The sequence below is a fragment of the Homo sapiens genome, chromosome 1 (assembly GCF_000001405.40).
Source record: "Homo sapiens chromosome 1, GRCh38.p14 Primary Assembly".
NCBI classification, from domain to species: domain Eukaryota; kingdom Metazoa; phylum Chordata; class Mammalia; order Primates; family Hominidae; genus Homo; species Homo sapiens.
Window position 1 is genome coordinate 230,745,112 of NC_000001.11, and position 21,154 is coordinate 230,766,265.

The 21,154-nt window shown below is 49.6% G+C and overlaps 2 protein-coding genes across 11 annotated transcripts in view, besides 1 other annotated feature; one reads left to right on the forward strand and one right to left on the reverse strand.

The window, feature by feature from the left end:
* The window catches only part of AGT (angiotensinogen), a 43,061-nt gene extending 42,589 nt beyond the window's left edge, over window positions 1–472 (reverse strand). Inside the window, exon 1 of the mRNA NM_001382817.3 lies at window positions 404–472. The gene's annotated coding sequence lies outside the window, so the exon portion shown is untranslated. The remainder of the gene's footprint in view (window positions 1–403) is intronic.
* The window catches only part of CAPN9 (calpain 9), a 54,602-nt gene continuing 35,724 nt past the window's right edge, over window positions 2,277–21,154 (forward strand). For 7 of the 10 annotated variants that reach the window (XR_949127.2, NM_006615.3, XM_011544017.2 and 4 more), the window contains exons 1-4: window positions 2,277–2,598; window positions 10,226–10,295; window positions 14,401–14,519; window positions 17,542–17,675. Coding sequence is in view for 8 of the 10 variants with exons in the window: in NM_006615.3 (NP_006606.1) it covers window positions 2,386–2,598; window positions 10,226–10,295; window positions 14,401–14,519; window positions 17,542–17,675 (536 nt within the window). In the remaining 2 variants the exon portion in view is untranslated. Of the gene's footprint in view, window positions 2,599–8,787; window positions 8,976–10,225; window positions 10,296–14,400; window positions 14,520–17,541; window positions 17,676–21,154 lie in introns of those variants that run through there. The other 3 variants (NM_001319676.2, XM_011544019.3, XM_047439808.1) reach the window with 2 other exon arrangements.
* Window positions 5,582–9,217: an enhancer, noted in NCBI's record as "VISTA enhancer hs2133". NCBI's record gives its function as "enhancer in: heart[7/9] | other[6/9]" and the evidence as "EXISTENCE:transgenic organism evidence [ECO:0001131][PMID:17130149]".

A 21,154-nucleotide genomic window follows, 5' to 3' on the forward strand; every position in this document is an offset into this window, starting at 1 on the left:
GAGGACCCCAGTTCCAAAGTCCTTCATTGTGCAAACAAAGAGACAAAAGAGATGCCTTGCAAGTTGAGGCAAGTCAGGCTCAGAAGGAGACCATGAAATTCAGCAGCATCTGTGGGAGTGGCAGGGGGTGCAGAGAGGATAGGGGAAAGGGAGGAATCAGCAGCTCCTGATCCCCTCCATGTGCCAGACTTTGCAAGTGGCTTTGCTTCCACAAACCCGCCATGCCTCTAGCAGGCAGCACCGATTATCCTGATTCACAGCTTGGAAGCAGGGACAGACAGCATGGATAACTCGCCCAAGATCACCCCAGGGAAAACTGGGAATTTGTCTTAGTTCATTCAGGCTTCTATAACAAAACAGCACAGACAGGGTGGCTTATAAACAACAGAAATGTGTTGCTCACAGTTCTGGAAGCTGGAAGTCCAAGATCAAGGCACTGGCAGATTCCATGCCTGGTGAGGGTCTACTTTCTGGTTCCTGTGTCCTCACATGGTGGAAGGGAGGAGGGGGCCCTCTGTGACCTAATCTTTCATAATGACACCAATCCCATTCATGAGGGCTCCACTCTTCTGACCTAATCACCCCTTAGAGGCCCCACTTTCTAATACCATTACCTTGCAGGGTATGGGTTCAACATACAAATTTTGGCGGGGTCGGGGGGGTGGTGCGGAATACAAGCAATCAGGCCATAGCAGAGTAAAACCCAAATATCCCCAACTCTAATGTCTAGACCTCCCCTGTAAAACCATATGCAGGATCTACTAGACAGAACGTGTGTCAGACTGAGTGCACACTCCTGGGAACTGTGAGCTTATATAAAAATTCACATCATGGCCTTTTAACTGTACCCATTAACTCAAGACCCCTTGTCTCCAAACCTCAACTTTGACTAGTTAGAGAATCACACAGAAATCATTATAAAGTGCTTAGAACATCAGAGTTTTCACGTGGTGACTAATACTTTTATTGACTTATTTTTATTGATACATAATATTTGTACGTATTGATGGGGTACATGTGCTATTTTGTTACATGTGCAGAATGTGTGATATCGAGTTGGGGTATTTAGGCTATCTATCCCCTCCAGTATTTATCATTTCTTTTCTTCTTTCCTTCTCTCTCTCTCTTTTCTTTCTCTCTCTCTCTCTTTTTTCTTTTTTTTTTTTTTTTTTTTTTGACAGAGTCTCTCTCTGTCACCCAGGCTAGAGGGCAGTGGCACGACCTCAGTTCACTGCAACCTCCACCTCCCAGGTTCAAGGGATTCTCCTGCCTCAGCCTCCCAAGTAGCTGGGATTACAAGCATCCGCCACCACACCGGGCTAATTTTTTGTATTTTTAGTAGAGACAGGGTTTCATGATGTTGGCCAGACTGGTCTTGATCTCCTGACCTCGGGTGATCAACCCTCCTCGGCCTCCCAAAGTGCTGGGATTACAGGTGTGAGCCACCACACCCAGCCTGTATAATCATTTCTATGGGCAAACACATTTATCAAACCACCTCCATCCTCTAACATTTGTTTTTTCTCAGACGTGAGATCCTATTTGTAGGACTATAACAACAAGGAACTTTATTAATATGATGTCTAGAGAATGAAAGAGGCACATGTGCCCTAGAGGAAGAGCCGATGTCCTCTGTGAGTTCTCCTCTATCAGGGGTCAGGTTGGATGAAATCTAACCCCCACCTGCCTTTGTAAATAAAGTTTTATTGGAACACAGCCACACCCATTCATCTGTGTCACATCTACGGCTGCTTTGTCACTACAACAGCAAAGTTGAGTAGTTGCAGCACAGACTTTGCGTGGCCCACAAAGCTGAAAATATTCATGGTCTGGGCCTTTACAGAAAAGGTTTGCTGACCCCAGTGCTGAATCACTATGGGATTGCCTGTGCAGGAGCTGTGCCAGCTGTGTTCACATAATGCATCCTGCTTTCATTCACCAACCTCCCTTCCGACTACAAAACTCTGCCATTCTCTGATGCAGGAGATGGGACTCAAGACCACACCGTGCACTTCTCCGTAAAGCCACCTCCTGGACCAGTTGGGTTTCTTGCTCCTTTTCCTTCTGAAGCAATCCTCTCTCTCCCATGAGGCCCCCTGAGCGCACTAAGCAGAGGTGCCGCCTCTGAGTGGAATGTGCCAGGCCCCAGAGCTGCCTCTGAGTCTGCAGGAGTGCAGAGTGGGCAGAGGGCTCTCTCTGCTGTTTTCCATCAGGGCGTGTCCCATCTCAGTCTAACAGGGAGGTGCCCAGAAAATAGGTGGAGGTGAGGGCCACTCAGCCCAGTGGCCCTCTGAGCTGTTCCTTCTTGACCGGCACACACAGCTCGCTTCTTCACTTTCTTTTCCATCCACTGCCGGACCCAAGCCAGCCTTCCAGGGAGCAGCCATGCCTTACCTCTACCGGGCCCCAGGGCCTCAGGCACACCCGGTTCCCAAGGACGCCCGGATCACCCACTCCTCAGGCCAGAGCTTTGAGCAAATGAGGCAGGAGTGCCTGCAGAGAGGCACCCTGTTTGAGGATGCAGACTTCCCAGCCAGCAATTCCTCCCTGTTCTACAGTGAGAGGCCGCAGATCCCCTTTGTGTGGAAACGACCAGGGGTGAGTGGGGCGAGCAGGGGAAGGAGCATAGATGAGGCCGAGGTTCAGCAGCCCCCGCAGGAAGTGGAAACAGGGGTGCTGGGGAGGGGCCGGCTACGCTCAGTGCAACTGAGGTGCATCATCCCAGTCTACCGTGGAAAGCTTTGCAGTTTGGAGGCAGAAAATAATGTACAGGCCTGGGATGCTCTGCGGTGGGGACCCGGGGCATCTGGTTGTACCCGCTCCCCGGCTCCAAGCTGTCTGACTCCCACCGAGGCTGAGGACCTGGAGTCAGAGTGGGTCTTGTCAGCAGGTGATAGGCACGAATCAAAACCTTATCCACAAGGACAGGCCCCCACCCTGTGTGTGGTAACACTGAGATCACGTTATGCACAGTGTTCTGTGGCTTCTGGCCCAGAGCTGAGGGTGCTCAGTGTGGATGGATGTTTGGCTCAGCAAGGTCTCAGCAACCGGGTGACAGATGGAATACAAGGGAAGCAGGAATCTTCTCCCGAGAACCATGCACCCCCCATTCCCAGAGATCAGGGTGAACAGTGCCCCACCTCTGACAGTCTGGAGGTGTCGTCCCAAGAGGCACCAGCTGGTCACTGGGTCCCAAGAGGTGCTAGCTTGTGCCTGGGACGCCATGTCAATATTTGCGGTGCTGGATTAGTCAGGGCTCTACCTCTGACCCGGCGCCAGCTGGGCTGGCTTCCATTCCCTCCAGGTGGGTACGGGCCTGGGAGTGGCTCCTGTGGGGTCCGGTTGCTTTTGGGCAAGGAGGGGCAGTACAAGGGATGCTGGTCCTACAAGTGAGATCCTGAGTGCCTGTCTTATCCTGACAATTTGTCTCATGCATATAGTCATATCACTTCATTTCCCTGAGCCTCAGTCTCCTCACCTGTAAAATGGGAACAATAATGGCTAATGCAGGCCAATGTCTAGCACACAGAAGGTTTCCAGTACATTACAGCTATTGTCACATTATTACTATTACTGATACTATTATTATCATCATTACAATGATTATTAGCTCTGAGTCTCATCTTACATATGAGTAGCAAAGGACTCATCATAACTACCTCCTCACTATCTCCCAACATTAAAATAATGTTGATGATTAAAAACAATTTTTTTTAACGCACATTCACAAAACTTCTGGGCTCTTCAGGGGCAGGGCCAAAGTGAACCTAAGTGGGTGTTTCCGAAGTGGTAAGGGTTTTATTGCTATTTCCTGCAGTAGGCAGTGTGGGGTGTATGTGTGTGCACGCACTTGTGTGTGTAGGAATTTGACTGTGTATGTGCATGTGTGTGACTGTGTGCACATGTGTGTGGATATGCATAGGCGTGTATGTGGGGGGTGGGTGACTGCATGCATAGGCACACAGGTGCTTTGATCTTCACCTGCCAGGTAATTGATCCCACAAGGTGCCATGTTCATGGGGAAATCACAGTGAGCATTCAGTGGCCCTATCGGAGTTGGGGTGAAAGCTCCCAGGCACCTTCCTCACCGAAGCCACGCTGTGATTGTTTTTGGTTCTCTGCATATGGCCAATTGCAGTGTGAGGTCACGGCACTGGCAGATCACGTGGGGTTGCACTTTACAGACAGGATTAGTAGGTCATGCTCTGCTAAGTAAGAAAAAGGACATTTCCAAACTAAAAAAGCAGAAGTTACAAGACATAAAAGAGTGACCCTCTGAGGGGCACCGCCCACGACCATTAGGTCTCCCTGGGCTTATTTCCGGCCTCGGCGCATGAACAAATGGGCGCGTGGGCAGCTGCCCAGGCTGCAGGCTGTGGGTGCATTTTTAACTGTGGGCAGAGATTTCCCTGCAGTTGATGTCAGGAGCCCTGGGAAATAGAGTTAGAGAAATTGATTTCCTGGGCCCCTGGTGAGCAGAGCCCCTGGCCAGAAGCAGCGGCTCTTTCTGTTTGATCCAGGGTTTCATACAGATGCTCATGTTCTCTACAGGCACTTGATATGAAAAGGTTGGAAGCACTTTTTCTCTTCCTTAAAATGGGGACAATAATGCAACTTATGGGGTCCTCATGAGGGTCAGCTGCGTTACCATGAGTAGAGCACTTAGCAAAGAGCCTGGTGTGTAAAGAATCAGTGCTGGTCCTTGTTATTTCTACTGCTGTCATTGTAACCTAACACCATCGTCTCCTGACTCTAGGAGGGCCCCCATCCTTGCAGTCTATATTGACATCATCTAGTTTAAAGTGTAATCTGTACTCTACAACTCACTTACTTTTTGTCAAAGTTAGAATTCTCCAAGATAAAAGCTGGACGCACAAACCAGCATGGAGGGCATCTTTGTCTCCCCCTTCAGAAGTCTCCCCTCCTGGGACCAGGGCCACCAAGGCCTGCCCAGCGACTCTAGAGTCCCAGATCTCTGCTCCAAGGGGCTGTCTTCCTTAGTATTATCTCCTCTGGCATTGCCCCAAACGCTGGGTGAGGCCTTCATCCACAGGCCAGGGCCCTTGATACACACAAGCCCCTGCCAAGATGCACCCCGACCTGCCACCCAGCCCATGCCCCTGTACCAGCCCTCTGTCCCTTCTTCATCCCACTGTCTCCACCTACGGCAGACCCTTTATTGATCTTAACCCAGGTCTACTGTGTTGCTGTCGTTCCCACAGACTCATTTTCAGAATCTGTTCTGCCTTTTCCTTTGTCTGCAACTGAAGATTGTCCCTTTGGTCTGGTCCTCATTCTCGTACCCCTATCTGTTTCTTATTTAGGGGAGTTAGAAGCTTTACATCATATCTTACAGATTTCTGTAAAATCAGGAACAAAAGGGCTGAGGATGAGCATGGAGACTCTTCTTGCAGCATAGAGTCGCAGGGAGCCGGGGGGTAGCGGGCCATAGGGAAATCACAAGCATTGCCAGGTTCCCTGCAGACCTCTGTGGCTTGGGCATCATTTGCAGTGGGACTCAGCATTACACGGTGCACATCTCAGCAGCCCGTGGGACCGTGGGGCTGGACGGCCCTCCTCCTCAGCACCACCTTCTTGTCAAACACAGCTGTACTTGGGGAGGGTGGGCAGAGCACAAAGCCAAGGGGACATTGGAGGGCAGTGGACAGCCAGGCTTGCCCTCAAGGGAGCCCAGGGCAAGGAGTGCACTGAGGGTGACTCAGGGAACTGGCTGGGAGGGGCTGGGAGGCAGAGAGGGTGATAGGCTCAACCTGGAGAGAAGGTGAGATCACCCCCAGGTCTCATGCAAGGGACTGTGGACCTGAGTGGAAGTGGGTGCACAGAAAGAGGAGGAGGGAGTATCGGGTGAGGTCTCCCAGCCTGATGGGGAACAGCCACCATGCAGTCCATCCCTCCTTGTCTGCCTGTACCCATTTATTTTTGGCCAGGCAATTCCCCCCCACCAATTCTCAGTGTAAATCCAGGACACCTCCCCGAAAGTGCCCACACCCCTCTAGCCCATGTGAACAACCCCTGTGGCAGACCTGTGCACAGCGTGGCATGTGACCACAGCCTCTCCTGCACGGTGAGCTTGCCGTTCCCTGTGCTGCTCCCCTGACCCCCAGGAGGGGTTGTCAGTTGTTCTGGGACAGCCCCAAAGGCCCCATGGCCTCCACAGTGCTGGGCACATGACAGGGATCGGCACATAGCTATGAACAGCAGCGTCTGGCATCTCCAGACCTTGCTGGAAATGTGGCTTTTCTTCACTGGAAGGCCATGTGAAAGACAGAATGAATGAAAAAGAAAGAGAGAAAGAAAGAGAAAAAGAGAGAAGGAGAGGAAGAGAGAGAGGGAAAGGGAAGGAAGGGAAGGGAGGAAGGGAGGAAGGAAGGAAAGAAGGAAGGAAGGAGAGAAAGAGAAAGAAAGATAGAAAAAAAGAAAGGAAGAAGAGAAAGAAAGAAAGAAGAAAGAAACAAAGAAAGAAAGAAAGAAAGAAAGAGAAAGAAAGAAAGAAAGAAAGAAAGAAAGAAAGAAAGAAAGAAAGAAAGAAAGAAAGAAAGAAAGAAAGAAAGAAGGGTGGCTTTTCCCTTTGTGAATTATTCACTGTGCTTAGTAGAGGAAAGTGTGTCTTCGGCTGAGCCCCGATGATGTACAAGGTAAACAGAACAGTCCCTGAAAGCAAACATTCCAGGGTGCTTGGCCCTTAGTGCTCCAGGAAAACCACCTGGTGGTAGGGCTGTGGGGTGGGGGAGGGGAGGGGGAGGGGGAGGGGTCTGCGTGCCTCCCTCGGGGCTTCAGGCAGCAGTCTAGGTTCACTTCAGGTTTGTCAAGACCCCTGCAATTGAGACACCTCTGATCGTCCTATCACAGGACTGTAGCTTCAGGTAACCCCTTCCTCATGGCCTCCCAAGCAACATTTCACAGGAACAAATGTACATCCAGGATCGACACGCACATGCAGGACACTCACACGTAGACAATGCTCCCAAGTGCACATGCAACCAGCATACATGTGGAGCATGCACAAGCACACACGTGTACCACACCTGGGCACACACAACAAGGCAAGTCACAGGCACCTTGCACATGTGGGCATGTGGGCCGTCAGCATACACACCACTCCCAGGCATCTAACCCAGGCCCACCGCCTAGCTGCCCCTTCCACACATGCGTCCGCAGAACCCCCTGTGACTGGCACGTGTGCACACCAATTCCCAGAAACACTGACCCACAGAGGAGTCGGTCACACATCCAGACACCTCCCCAATTTATACCCGATGGCTAATTTGTGTTTACTTGGAGAGTTTCTGAGTTTTTTCCTTTTGTATTTTTCTCCTCATTGGGTGCGATCTGGTTTAAAACAAAAACAAAAACAGACCTCTCCTGAACAAAACAACCAATTGCAAGATAGGAGCTGGGAGGCGGTGGCAGCTGCAGGCACAGTTGGTACGGTTGGCGGGGCCAGGCCTGCAGAAGGCTGGGGGAGGGGAGGGGCAGGGAGGATGGGAAGGAGGCGGGCATCCGGGAACAGCCCTGCCCCAGGAGCTAGCACAGCCTGCTGGGCAGGGATCTGTGGCTTTTGGAGTACATTTTATGTCCACTTGAGGAGTGAGTAGCATTGGCAGTGGGGGCATTGCTTGCCAGGGCTATCCCCTGGCAGGGGCTGGGCAATCAAGACAGGGAGGGCTTGGGGGACTCCTGGGTTTCCCTTCGGGCAGGCACATTCTGCAGCAAGCCCAGAATGTCTAAGCTGGTGACAGATGAGGATGCAGCCGTGAGAAGTTAAATGGCCCACCCTGAACCCTACTGCTGAGCGGGGCAGGCTATTCCTGGGACTCTATTGAGGCCCACTGACATGGTCCTGGTTTGCATTGTCCTTCTGGGCTCAGCTCAGAGCCACCTGCAAACTCCTGCGCTAGCCAAGGTGGAGGAGGAAGAAGAGCAGTGTGCTTCCTACAGATGAGAGGGGTCCGCACAGGCAAGCCAAGCCAGGACCCCAGAACTGAGCAGCTGCCCCCCACCTTCACTCCCTTTCCAGCCACCACGGAGATCAGAGTCATTTAATGAAATGGCGCCAAAGCTACCTGGAGCTGGGGGTGGGAATGCAAAGACGTGTGAGACCTGGCAGAGGACAGGCCAGCATTTGGGAGGTCCTTACTTCTGCCGGGCCTGGGGTTTTGGCGCATCTAAAAACACCCCGTGTTCTTCAGAAATTCTCCTGGCCAAGCTTTCTTGAGTATTTTAGACACTAATGCCACACATAGCTCTCCCTGGGCAGGCGCCCCTGGTGTCTGTCACTCCTCCAGGTTGTCACATCCTGGGGAATGCAGAGAGAGCACCAGCATTTGAAGCTTCTGCTCTTGGTCCTGATAATCCCCTTGACTTCAAAGAAATCTCTGTCCTGCCTTTGATTCTTTGGGACACAAGATGAGAGGAGAAGCAGGGTGCTGAGAAGCCTGAGGAAGACAATTCAAAGCAGAGGTCTCTCGGGGAAGGCGGCGCAGCTTGAGCTCCCCACGTGGCGTCCGCCCAGACACTGCTGGAACCTTCCACCTCCAGCCCAGGCCCCTCCTCAGTCCTGGTGCCTGGAAAAGTGGGAAGAGGTGGGAAAAATCCTTCACTCCTCTGCAGGCCCCGGCCCAGTTAACTCACCACCCCTGCAGGGTGAGCCAGAACGGGCCTCGCTGCCACAGGATTGGCTGTTACCTCTCCCGAGACCGGCCCGGCTTCCTCCCTCCCTCCCTCCCTCCCTCCCTTTGTTTAGGTCTGTGCTCCTCTGCTTCCCCCAGAGACGCCTCCCCTGCTGACTGCTGTAGCTAGCCTTGCCCCATCCCACCCCTTCCCTCTCCATCCTCGCTCTTTTCTCTCCTGGTTTATGGTTTGTCTCTTCCTCAAATGCAATTTGCAAAACTCTCCTGAACGAAACAACAGCTTCTGGGAGGTGGTGGCAGCTGCAGGCACAGTGGGCGCCGTGGGTGAGGCCAGGGCTGAGGCAGGCTGGGGGAGGGGCGGGGCAGGAGGCTGGGAAGGGGCGGGGCTTCCGAGAGCACCGCCCTCCGCGTCCAGGGCAGCTCCACCAGGGCAGGGGCTTTCCCTCTCTCTTTGTTGTCGTCCAATGTCAGGAATGGAGCCCAGCAACTCAAAGAGTGGAAGAATATATGCATATCATAAGATTGCTTTCTACACTTTTTTGTTCATGTTTTATAAATACCCCTCCATATTGTATATGTATATATTAATATGTATTAATGATTACATTAATACACATAGTGTATGTGCTTATGTGTAATATAGAATAATATATATATAATGCACTTCGGTGAAACAATATGAGAGATGTGTGCATATCTCTCTTTATATGGTATAGATACATGAAATTTTACCTAAGCGCATCTCTGTAAAAAGAAACACTGAGCAGGGTGGCATGTGTCTGTAACCTCAATACCTTGGGAATCCAAGGCGGGAGGATCACTTGAGGCCAGGAGTTTGAGACCAGCCTGGGCAACATAGCGAGACCCCCATCTCCACAAAAAAAAAAAAAAAAAAATTAAAAAGTGGCTGGGCGTGGTGACTCACGTCTGTAGTCCCAGTTACTTGGGAGGCTGAGGTGGAAGGATTGCTTGAGCCCAGAAGGTCAAGGCTGTAGTGAGCTATGATCATGTCACTGCACTCCAGCCTGGGTGACACAGCAAGATTCTGTCTCTAAACCTATATATATTTGGAATCCACTTTGTGGGGGAAGGATTATATAAAGAAAGAAATGGAGAAGCTGGGTGGGTAGGGAGTATGTTTAGTCCAAGGCCCCAGCCTGTGGTACATGCATTACTCAGCTCCTTGAAGCCCACAGAGGTCACAGAGCTCACAGCTGGGATAGCCCTGGACTCCTAGCCCAGTGCCTGAGTGAGCACAGGAATCCTCAGTGTGTGGCTGATGTCCAGCTTTGTGGCCGGGTGTGGCCTGTGTTTCTGGCCAGAGATTGGTGCTGAGTGCAGCTCAGGAGGCAGGACCTCTCCCCGGCGGAGGAGATTTACCAAAGATGAGCCCAGCCTTATCCAGAGCATAGAGAGGTGGCAGCCTTTTACATCCACGTGGCCCTCCTCAGGGAAAAGAATCAAGCACAGGGAAAGCCCTCTGCCCCAAGAAAGCAGAGAGACCCTGAGCCTACCCTTTCATAGTGGCTTGCAGCATGGCAGGCCTCAGCCTAATAACACTCTCATTCCTCCAGGAAATCGTGAAAAACCCAGAATTCATTCTTGGAGGGGCCACCAGGACTGATATCTGCCAGGGAGAGCTGGGTGAGTGTAAGTGGATGGAGCATGGCGAGAGGGAGGTTGAGTCACTGGGACAGGCAAGCAACTGCAGCATGGGGTCCCTGAGGACCCAAGAGGCACGGGGCTGGGGGAACAACACTGCTTCGGCCTCTGCTTCCTCACTCCCTCTGAATGGAGTCCAGTGGCCTCAAGCCCCTGCACCTCCGTTCCTCTAGAGTCAGACATGCCTGTGATGTGGGGCTCACAGCCCCGGAGTTTACAGAGGAAAGTGACACCCAGCAGCGTTGGTCGGGCTCTCCTACACCACCACAGTAGCTAACACCTGCACACATGAACTCAGTCACCTGCGAGGTACTCTCCCCAGCACACATTGCCTCATTCCATCTTCACAACCCACCCTCCTAACGTCACAGATGAGGAAATGGAGGCTGAGGAAGGCTAAGTAACTTGTCCAAGGTCACAGAGGTGGTAGACAGGCAATCAGGATTTGAACCCAGACACTCCAGCAGCAGAGCCCTTACTGCTAACCATTATACACACCCTGGGGAGCCGCTCCCCAGCAATCCAGTCTCCCTCCTGCAATGAACCTGAGTGCACCTCAAGTCACTCAAATTGGGTCCTGCATTTTAGGACTTAATCCAACTGGGCTGGGTTTACCTTTGTTCTATCTATGAAAGACAGAGAAAGTGAGAGAGCGAGAGACTTTCTTTTAAAAAATACCAGTGAAATCAGCCTAGAGAACAAACCACTGCAAGCTTGTGTGGACCCTGACTTATTTCTAGCTGAGGTTGTCACTGTGGTCTATTGGTTAAGAAAGGCCATGCTGGAACCTCCATGCTGAGCAACTGAGCTATCCTAAACACAAGATCCAAAGTCACAAACCTAGACTGATGTTAGTTAATTAGCTAGACAGAGAGACAATTGAGAGAGAGAGAGAGAGAGAGAAGCAAATGGATAGATAGATAGAAACATAGATAATAAGTAATAGATGATAGGTAGAAAACGGATGCATAATTAGATAGATAAATAGGTTGATAGGTTGATTGATTGACTGATAGACCATACAAAATAAATATATAATAATAGATAGATGGTAGTAAATAATGATAGGAAGGTAGGTGGGTAAATACATGGATGGATGGGTATAGATAGATGATGGATGATAGACGGAATTACAGTTGACCCTTTAACAACATGAGTTTGAACAGTGCAGGACCACTTCTAAGTGGATTTTTTTTCAACCAAACACAGACAGAAAATACCGTGTTCCAGGCTGAGCGTGATGGCTCACACTTGTAATCCCAGCACTTTGGGAGGCCGAGGCAGGAGAATCGCTTGAGCCGAGGAGTTCAAGACCAGTCTGGGCAACATAGTGAGGGCTCGCCTCTACTAAAAATTAAAATTGAAAAATTAGCCAGGCTTGGTGGTGCATGACCATAGTTCCAGCTACTTGGTAGGCTGAGATGGGAGGATTGCTTGAGCCTGGGAAGTTGAGGCTGCAGTGAGCTGAGATCATGCCACTGCACTCCAGCCTGGACAACAGAGTAAGACACTGTCTCAAACAAACAAAAAGGAAAAAAAGGAAGGAAAGAAGGAAGGGAGAGAGGGAGGAAGGGAGGGAGGGAGGATGGAAGGAAGGAAGGAAGGAAGGAAGGAAGGAAGGAAGGAAGGAAGGAAGGAAGGAAAGGAGAAAATATACTATTCCAGGATTTGAAACCCGCATATACAGAGGGCTGACTTGGTATAGGCAGATTCCACAGGGCTTACTGTGGGACTTGAGTATGCACAGATTTTGGTATACACAGGGGTCCTGGAACCAATCCCCCATGTATGCCATATTCTAGATACAATGTAGACTTTTCAAAAGGTTTACATTCAGGTGGTCCTTCTCCAGGAGATCCTCCCTGCCGCTGCCCACCTCTCCCCCTCTTCCTCTGCCTCCCTTCCCCTCGACCCCGTAGTCCTCCATTGCTATCCAATAGGAAATCATTCTACTGGCTCCTTTGTTTTTCAAAGTTTTGGTTTGTCACATTGGCATAAACATATATTTGGAGTTACAACCTTATATTTTACCTTAGTGGATGGTTGATTCTAAAGATTATTTTGTAACACTTTTACTACACCAAAGTACTGTACATGGCATATATATGTTATAAAGAATAACAAGAAAATGAACAGCCGTGATCTGTTGCCACCCACAATAAGAACTAGAACATCTGGTCATGTAGAGTGCTCACACCTGTAATCGCAGCGCTTTGGGAGGGGGAGGTGGGAAGATCTCTTGAGCCCAGGAGTTTTAGACTAGCCTGGGCAACATAGCAAGACCACATCTCTATCAAAAAAAAAAAAAAAACTAGAACACACTTGGAACAGCATCAAGGCATGCTGTTATCTGCAGGGGGTGGGGGTAGGGGTGGAGCTGGGTGAGTGTGAGGGGATGGAGCATGGCGAGAGGGAGGTTGGATTGCTGGATCAAGAGCGACTGCAGTATGGGGTCCCTGAGAACCCAAGAGGCACAGCGTTCCCCCTGCAGTGAGCCGAGATGGTGCCACTTCACTCCAGCCTGCTCCTCCCATAGTGCCCTCTGCTCTGCACCACCCAGATAGCCGAGCAACACGCTGACCCACAGAGGGCACTTCTTCCAGGCACAGCTGGGTGGCCAGCCCCATCCATCTGCCCAGGCCCAAGAGAGAGAAAAGCAATCTTGTTTTGGCTTCTCAATCTCCCCGCCAAAAGCTCAGAGCATTTCTGGCTGAAAACACGTGAGGTGTTGAGTTCTCAGGCCGGAAAACACTCATTTTCCTCAACTGGGCAAAGTTGAAACTTGGAGGAGAGCTGGGAAAGGTCAGCCCACAGCAGAGGTCACTCTATTAGACTCCTGTTGGCCTGGCCGCCCTGAAGCTGAAAGCAGACACCAAGTCTCTCCTTATCTTTGCATCTTCTGCGTGGCACAAGGTCTGCCACCCTAGAGGCACTTGGTAAAGTTTGCTGAACAAACGATCCTGCAGGTTCCAGCCATGTCACTTCCTAGTAGCATCTCCCAAAGCTGACCTGAGGCTCCCAAAGACCAGCAGATGCATTAGAAACCAATCCTTCTGTGCTCCAGCTAAGGCTGGGGGTGGCTTGTACTCTGCTGGTGACACCTCTCAGAAAGCCAGAACCAGGGCGATTCGGAATTAGCTTTCCCGATGTTCAGCCCTGGCGAGTCTCTCTTGCCTGTGTCAAACAGCCAGAAAGGGCCATATTACAATGTCCCAAGCCCAGTGACATACGGTGCTTTCCAGAAATGTGAACTCAGAAACTGCCAAGCTGAGTGTGATGGGCTTTTAGGTTCTGATGACGTTGATGTTGTCTACTGAAAACAAGTGAATCTGGATAAAGGTGATTCGGATAAATGGATCCTCCCAGATATCTGCTTACACAGGCGGCATCTGAGACACTGTGAGGCACACACCAGACACAGCCCACACTCAGTGTGGGCAAAGGAATGCCTCCAGGAGTCTGGAACAGCACAGATAGCACAGATAAAATCATGTTTGATGTTTGACTTCACTTTTTAGTTTTCCTCCAGATGTGTGTTAACATGAAGACACAGCTGGGAAGTTCAGTAGGTCAGTCAATAAATCTTGAAAATGCAAGATAATTTAAAGCAAATGGAGCCACCACGGAGATACCATTATCTGTAATTAAGCTGAGTCTGGGTTGGGGCTGCAGGGAGATTTCTAACCACCCTCCCAAGTACTGCCGAACCACTTGGGTGGCAGCTATGAAATGTCTGCTCGCCCAGCCCGTGCTGACACTGATGTATGCAGTCTTGGTCCTCTGGAAAGGGAGTTGCTGGAATTCACAGAGCTGATGCATCAGGCAGCCATATGTCTGAAACCCAAGTAAGCATGTCCTATAACAGTGCCAAGAAGGCAACAGCTGTTTATGATAGACGGGCAGAGAAGAGCAGGCAAGGGAGGCAGAAGGGGAGGAGAGAGTTATTTGTTGGTGTCCTGTCTGTTTTTAAACAGGTAGAAAAGATGTGGCCACATCTGAAACTCCCCACATCCCCTTCTGACACAGAGTTTTCCTATTTGCTGTGAAATAGCAATGAAAATTGTGATTTATGGCTTCCATTTTGCAGGAGACTGCTGGCTATTAGCCGCCATCGCCTCCCTTACGCTTAATCAAAAAGCACTGGCCAGAGTCATCCCCCAGGACCAAAGCTTTGGCCCTGGTTATGCCGGGATATTCCATTTCCAGGTAAGAGGGAGCCCTGGGCCAGTGGGTTTACCTCTCTGGGGCCCGGCATGAGGGCAGGTGCATTTCCACACTGCCTGGTAACCCTAGAAAAAAATGTCATCAGATCTGTGTGACATATGGTCCTAAACCATGCTAAAGCCACATTTTATCATGGAATAACAGCTAAATGCCTCAGAAGAACATTAACGGCATTGCACGGTGAATCCTTATGGAGCATACATTTAAAACTATAAGTGATGTTTTGGCAAATCTGGAGGTCCATCTGTTAAGGGTTTTATTATTTGGAATTTCTTGTGCTTTAAGCACAAATTGACTAAACCAATTATACCTCCAGGAAACTGGTTGATTTCTCATAAACAGAGAGGTTCTCTTTATGGAAGAATTGTAAATTTGGAGATCTTGAGGGATTTTAAAAAATAAAAACTGAGAAAAATACAGACAACATCTGCTGGAGTCCCGTGTGACCCGCAGACCCTCAGCCGAGGTGCACATCAGGAGAGGCTTGCCCCCAGGAGATGGTTTCCTGCTGCTTCACCTCACTTTCTATCCCTCCAGTCTCTCCTCCACCCCTGTCCTTATATAGGGTTCGACCAGATACTGAAACTTGCCCCTTGTTCTTACTTAGGTGGGTGACCTCAGACAATTTTCTTAGTGACATTAAACCTTTCTACACTCGTCTGAAAAAAGGAGAGACTGACAGTTCCCTGCAGGCTTCCCGTAGAGCTAAATGGCATCACACACAGGAGCCGGCACAGAGCCAGGCACCGAGTAGGCATTCCTTGACCTTCCACCCCAGACAGTGTCACCTTCTCCTGACTCACAGGCCACCACTCAGGGCCAGCCCGTTTCTTCTGTCCCTGAAGCCTGCAATCTGATAAGCAGAGGTACTCTCAAGCCCTGTCACCAATAGCACAGAAGTGTTTCAAAGGCAAAGAGAGTGAGCAGGTCACATGTAGCTCAGGGAGCATGCAATTCCCAGGGGTCAGGCCTCCTGCGCCGGCTGGGGACAGAGCCACTTTGGGTCCCAGGGAAACTCTACCCCTGCTCTCTCACAGACCTGCCACCACCTGGCTGTCTCCCTTCCCATCCTGTGACTTCTGCTGAGACCACAGTCTTGGTTTGATGGCGCCCCCAGGAGCCGGTCTTTCCCCAGTCCTCTTAAACACACCAGGGTGGCAGTGTTGGGGGTGGTTAAGCTCAGAAAATCCAGCAGAACTACTGCCTCTAAACCAGAACCAGAACCAGCAGAACTACTGCCTCTAAACCAGAACCAGAACCACCACCTCTTGGGCTCCCAAAAGGAACAGTGTTCTTGTCCCTTGAATGTCACAGCTGGGAGGAGCCTTGGCAATCCCCTGACCCAGTCCTCTCATTAACTCCCGAGGACACTGAGTCCCAGGGAGTGGAAGTGGTTGATCCAGGGTCACAAAACAATAAGTAGCCAAGCCAGACCTAGAACTCAGGAGTTCTGGATCCAGCATCCTTTTGTGCTGCCAGGGATCATGTGGGGGTGGGGAGTGACCCTGTTGATGCCTGTCAGTCCCGCAATAACAATACTCCGCCCGCTCCCCTCCTTGGCCTTCTAGGAAGCAGAGCTTTGGAAATAAATCCACCTCCTTCACACTCCTCTTCCACTCCTCAGCCACAGTGCAGGTGTGCGTGCTAGGAAGTTAGCAGAGCTCTCTGGGCTGGCAGATAATCTCTCCTGACTCACAGGCCCCCTGAGCCAGCCCCTCTGCAAGGAAAGCCAGCCCTGAGGCTCCTCCCCACTGCTCCCCTGCTCAGGAACCCCAAGGCCCAGGCCCGAACTTTAAACACCTAACCCAACTGTGCCTCAGTCCCACCTGAAGCTGTGGATAGCCCCAAAAGCGGGAAGCCCTGGAGGGGAGGTCCAGCTGGAGCAGGTGACAAGAATCTTCCTTAAAACACACACACACACACAGACACCCTCAGCCACATCGTGGCCAACTCTTCTGATTGGGATTGAATCACTGATGCAGCAAGATGCTCAGGATGACACAGCAAAGCTGTAAATAAATGGCTCCCAAAACCACTGTGCCTACCCTCCTCTTTCAACCCTTTTCTTTTTACTCTTAGAGGTTACCTTAGGATCGCTCTCAGGCCAACTGAACCAGAAGGAACGGGTAGGAGGTGGGTCACTGCAGGATACACAGAGAAACTACCATGGTCCTTGACTCGTTCCAACCTCCCTTCCTGTTCCCAGCAGACCACACACAAGCTCATACACATGCATACATGTGCTCAAACACACACGTGTGTAGAAGCACTTGCAAACACATGCATGCACACATACATGCACACACATGCACACATGTGAGCAAACACATGCTTTCACACATGCAATGTATAAATAAACCACAAACAGTGCACATACCTGTCATGCCTGCCTGTATGCACATGTATACACATGTGTGCGCACATGCATTCACACACACCCACACTCCACTCATGTCTCCTCACTGGCACGCAGGGATTACTGAGTCCACCTGCCTCCTATGTGAATGGCCAACAAATCAGTCTTAGGGGCTCCACTTATGGGCGAGGAGGGAGCAAGGTTAAGGAAAATTGGAGCTAGACCCTGAAACTGGATGGGAGAGAATAACAGAGAACTGGGCTACAAAACAGCAAACCCAAACCCCACGTTACCATTCTCCCTCCCCCACAAAAACAACTTTCTTGTGAAGAAGAAAAACTAATTCAGAGCACCGTAGAGTGTCTACTTGTGAGTCCTGTCCTGCCCCCTGCATCGCCTGCGGCTTTGATGGGTTGACCCTGAGTCTTTCAGCTGATGTCAATGGTTAGTGCTGGGTGGAATACTCAGCTTGTAACTTGGTGGACAAAGCCCAGGTGCCCTACCTTGGAACCCGTGTGTGATTTTCAAAGCTGTCTATGGGTAGCTTGGTCAGAGGGGAAAAAAGCAACAGGATCAACATTTACAAACAGGGCCTGGAGCTCCCATGTAGCTGACTCGCATCATTTCTGTCTTTTTCCTGGGCAACAGTTCTGGCAGCACAGTGAGTGGCTGGACGTGGTGATCGATGACCGCCTGCCCACCTTCAGGGACCGCTTGGTTTTCCTCCACTCTGCCGACCACAACGAGTTCTGGAGCGCCTTGCTGGAAAAAGCCTACGCCAAGTGAGTGACAGCTTCCCCAGCTCAGGCAGCCTCCCGACAGGAGTCTCTACACTAGTCTTTGTAGTGAGCATCTAAGGGCTGGGAAAAAATCAGGGCTCTGGGTTTGCAGGTGAGGCTCGGCAGGACCCAACCCTCTCAGGGCTCAAGCGGGGTTGGAGGTGGTTTTCCTGTCGTAGCCTAGATGTGCCCATCTTTGGGAGCAGTGGCTACATTCATGACCCTTTTTCTCCCTGGGCCATGAATCTGGCCTTTGGAAGAGCTGGGAAGGCAAGCGGAGGGGAATTCTGGCTGTGCCGACAGCACTTAGTGCTTCACACTTCCCTCGGACACTGGCATGGCTCAAACATCTGGGCTATTACGCACGTTGATATAGAGACATCAATTGTCCGTCCTACGGGATGCTTCTTTTTTATTTTTAAAAAGTCGTATATGACATATCGATAAATAATCGTATATGATAAAATGTATATGACATAAATTTTACCATTTTTAAGTGTGCAGTTGAGTAGCATTAAGTACATCCATGTTGTTGTGCAGCTATCACCACGATCTATCTCCAGCACTTTTTCATCTTGCAAAACTGAAATTCTGTCCCTATTAACAAATAACTTCCTATTCCTCCCTTCCCCCAGCCCCTGGCAACACCACTCTACTTTCTGTTTTTATGATTTATCTAGTCTAGGAACCTCATATAAGTGGAACCAAGAAATTCATTTTTAATCACCAGCCAAATGGCCTCAGTTTCCTCAGGCTCTCAATTTCCAGCCCACTAGCTCGTTAGTGAAAGGCCACAACAGCCTGAATTTGATCCACAGATGATGGCAGAGCTCCTGGGAGCCACTTTCAGGTTCAGCCTGGATCTTCAAGCCATGAGAATACTATCCCCAGAGACAGAAGCAAGGATGGTCTTGCTTCTACCTCCAAGTGGGACATAAAAGTGGCAAAATAGAGGGGAGGCATACTGTGGTTAAATTAATCCTGAAATCAGCAGGACAGAATTAAAGCCATCAAATAAGAACCAAAGATGCCCACGCTTGCCCTCTGTCCCACCCAGGTCTGTGCAAACACCATCAGTGCCACCAGACAGGCTTAAGGGGACAAAGGGCACTGTTTCCAAGTCCAGTGGGTGGGACCCAAGCCCACCTCTGCCCCTTGGTGAGTGCCCCCCACATCAGGATGCAAGCAAGGCAACAGAAACTGTGTGCCATCTAGTTTCTAAACATAAAAAAGATTTATTGGGGTCACTTAAAAAGGCCAAAAATGGTTGGCAGAACAGCTCACCAAAAAAAAACTGTATAGATGGTGTTATGGTTAGTTTTATGTGTCAACTTGATTGGGCCAAGGGATGCCCAGATAGCTGGTGAAGCATTATTTCTGGGTGTGTCTGTGAGAGTGTTTCTGGAGAAAATAGCTTTTGAATCAGTAGACTGAGTAAAGAGGATTGCTGCCACCAATGTGGACGAGCATTATTCAGTTTGCTAAAGATCCAAATAAAAGAAAATGACAAAGGAAGGGTGAATTCCCTTTCCCTACTTGAACTGGGACATCCATATTCCCCTGCTCTTGGACATTGGAGCTCCTCGTTCTCAAACCTTTGGACTCAAACTTGGACTTACATCATCAACCCCCCAATTCTCAGGCCTTTGGACTCAAACTGAATGATACCACCAGCTTTCCTGGTTCTCCAGTTTGCAAATGGCAGATTGTGAGATTTCTTGGCGTCCGTAACTATGAGAGCCAATTTCAAACGTATGAAATAACCTCATTGAAGGGGTTGGAGAGAAAGGTGCTGACCTAAGTAACTTTGGAAATCAGTGGAGTCTGTAAGATTAAAGGCAAAAGAAACTGTACGTGAGTGCTATGCTCTAGTTGCTAAAATTGTTTCTTGTAGGAGTACAAATGAAAAATTGATCTAATTATACATGTATATTGAGCTGAACAATCGAGTGAACGGATGGTGGATGGCGGGAGCCGAGTTTCTCACTGTTGGATTGAGAGGTTACAGATAGGCAAGGGGAGGAGGCCAGAATGATCCATGCAGATTAGAGTTGGAGATTCCAGAATGAACTTAGATTTAGCTTAACAGAGATGGTTATGTAGAGATACATGGATCTGTACATGGGTTATCATACACATATATATTGATCTATACTTGGGTTATCATACACATATGTATTTCCTTGCTTTGTCAGTGAGAGGAACTAGAAGCAATGACAATCCTGTAGCAACAAGCACACCTATGTCTCAAGTCTTGGTTTCTAAGATCATTCTTCAATCAAAGGAACTGGGGCTTCTTGGAGATAAGGCTGATTCTAGGACTGGGGCATACACACATACATACATATATATACACATACATATATACATACATACATAAAATGAACCTAGATCATCTTATAGTGCCAGAAAATGAGAACACATGCAAGACACACACACACACACACACACACACACACACACACACACACACACAAATGAGGTTATGCCAAAAGGGCACAAGAGCATACTGAAGGAGCTCCAAACAGCCAAAGCTAGAAGAATTCAACCAACGAAATAGACAAAGCAGTACTGGATTATGAACCCAAGTAGAAGCTGGGTGCAGTGACTCACACCTGTAATCCCAGCACTTTGGGAGGCCGAAGTAGGTGGATCACCTGAGGTCAGGAGTTCGAGACCAGCCTGGCCAACATGATGAAACTCAGTCTCTACTAAAAATACACAAATTAGCCAGGCATGGTGGTGCATGCTTGTAATCCCAACTACTCGGGAGGCTAAGGCAGCAGAACCACTTGAACCCAGGAGGTAGAGGTTGCAGTAAGCCGAGATCATGCCACTGCACTCCAGCCTGGGCAACAGAGCAAGACTCCATCTCAAAAACAAAAACAAAACAAAACAAAAAAACACAAAATAAACCCAAGTAGAAAATAAATATCAATGGGTTCATACTAATTTGAATAAATGATTGTATAAATAAATGTGGAAGAAGGAACATATATCCTGTGTAGAATAATTCCAAATAAATTATGTTTATATTCCATCCTTGAGGAGGTGGAGTATAACTCCCTGATTTTTTCATGCGGCCTTCACATAATGATTCCTTCCAAAGAGTTCAGCATGGAAAGGGGAGAGAAGGAGCAACTTTCCAGTGGAGACACCTGACTAACACTACCTTAGCCAGGTGATCAAGGCCAGCATCAGCTGTGGTAAGGCATGTGGACGGCAGGTACTCTTGATATCATGAGATGAGAGGGGAGCTTTACCTCTCCGGTCTTCCTTCCACTAACCAATAGCCCCACTCTTTTTTTTATTATTATTTACTTTTTTTTGGAGACAGGGTCTTGCTCTCTCACCCAGACTAGAGTGCAGTGGCACCGTAATAGCTCACTGCAGCCTGCAACTCCTGGGCTCAAGTGATTCTCCTGCCTCAGCCTCCCGAAATGCTGGGATTACAGGCACCAACCACCACACCCAGCTATTTT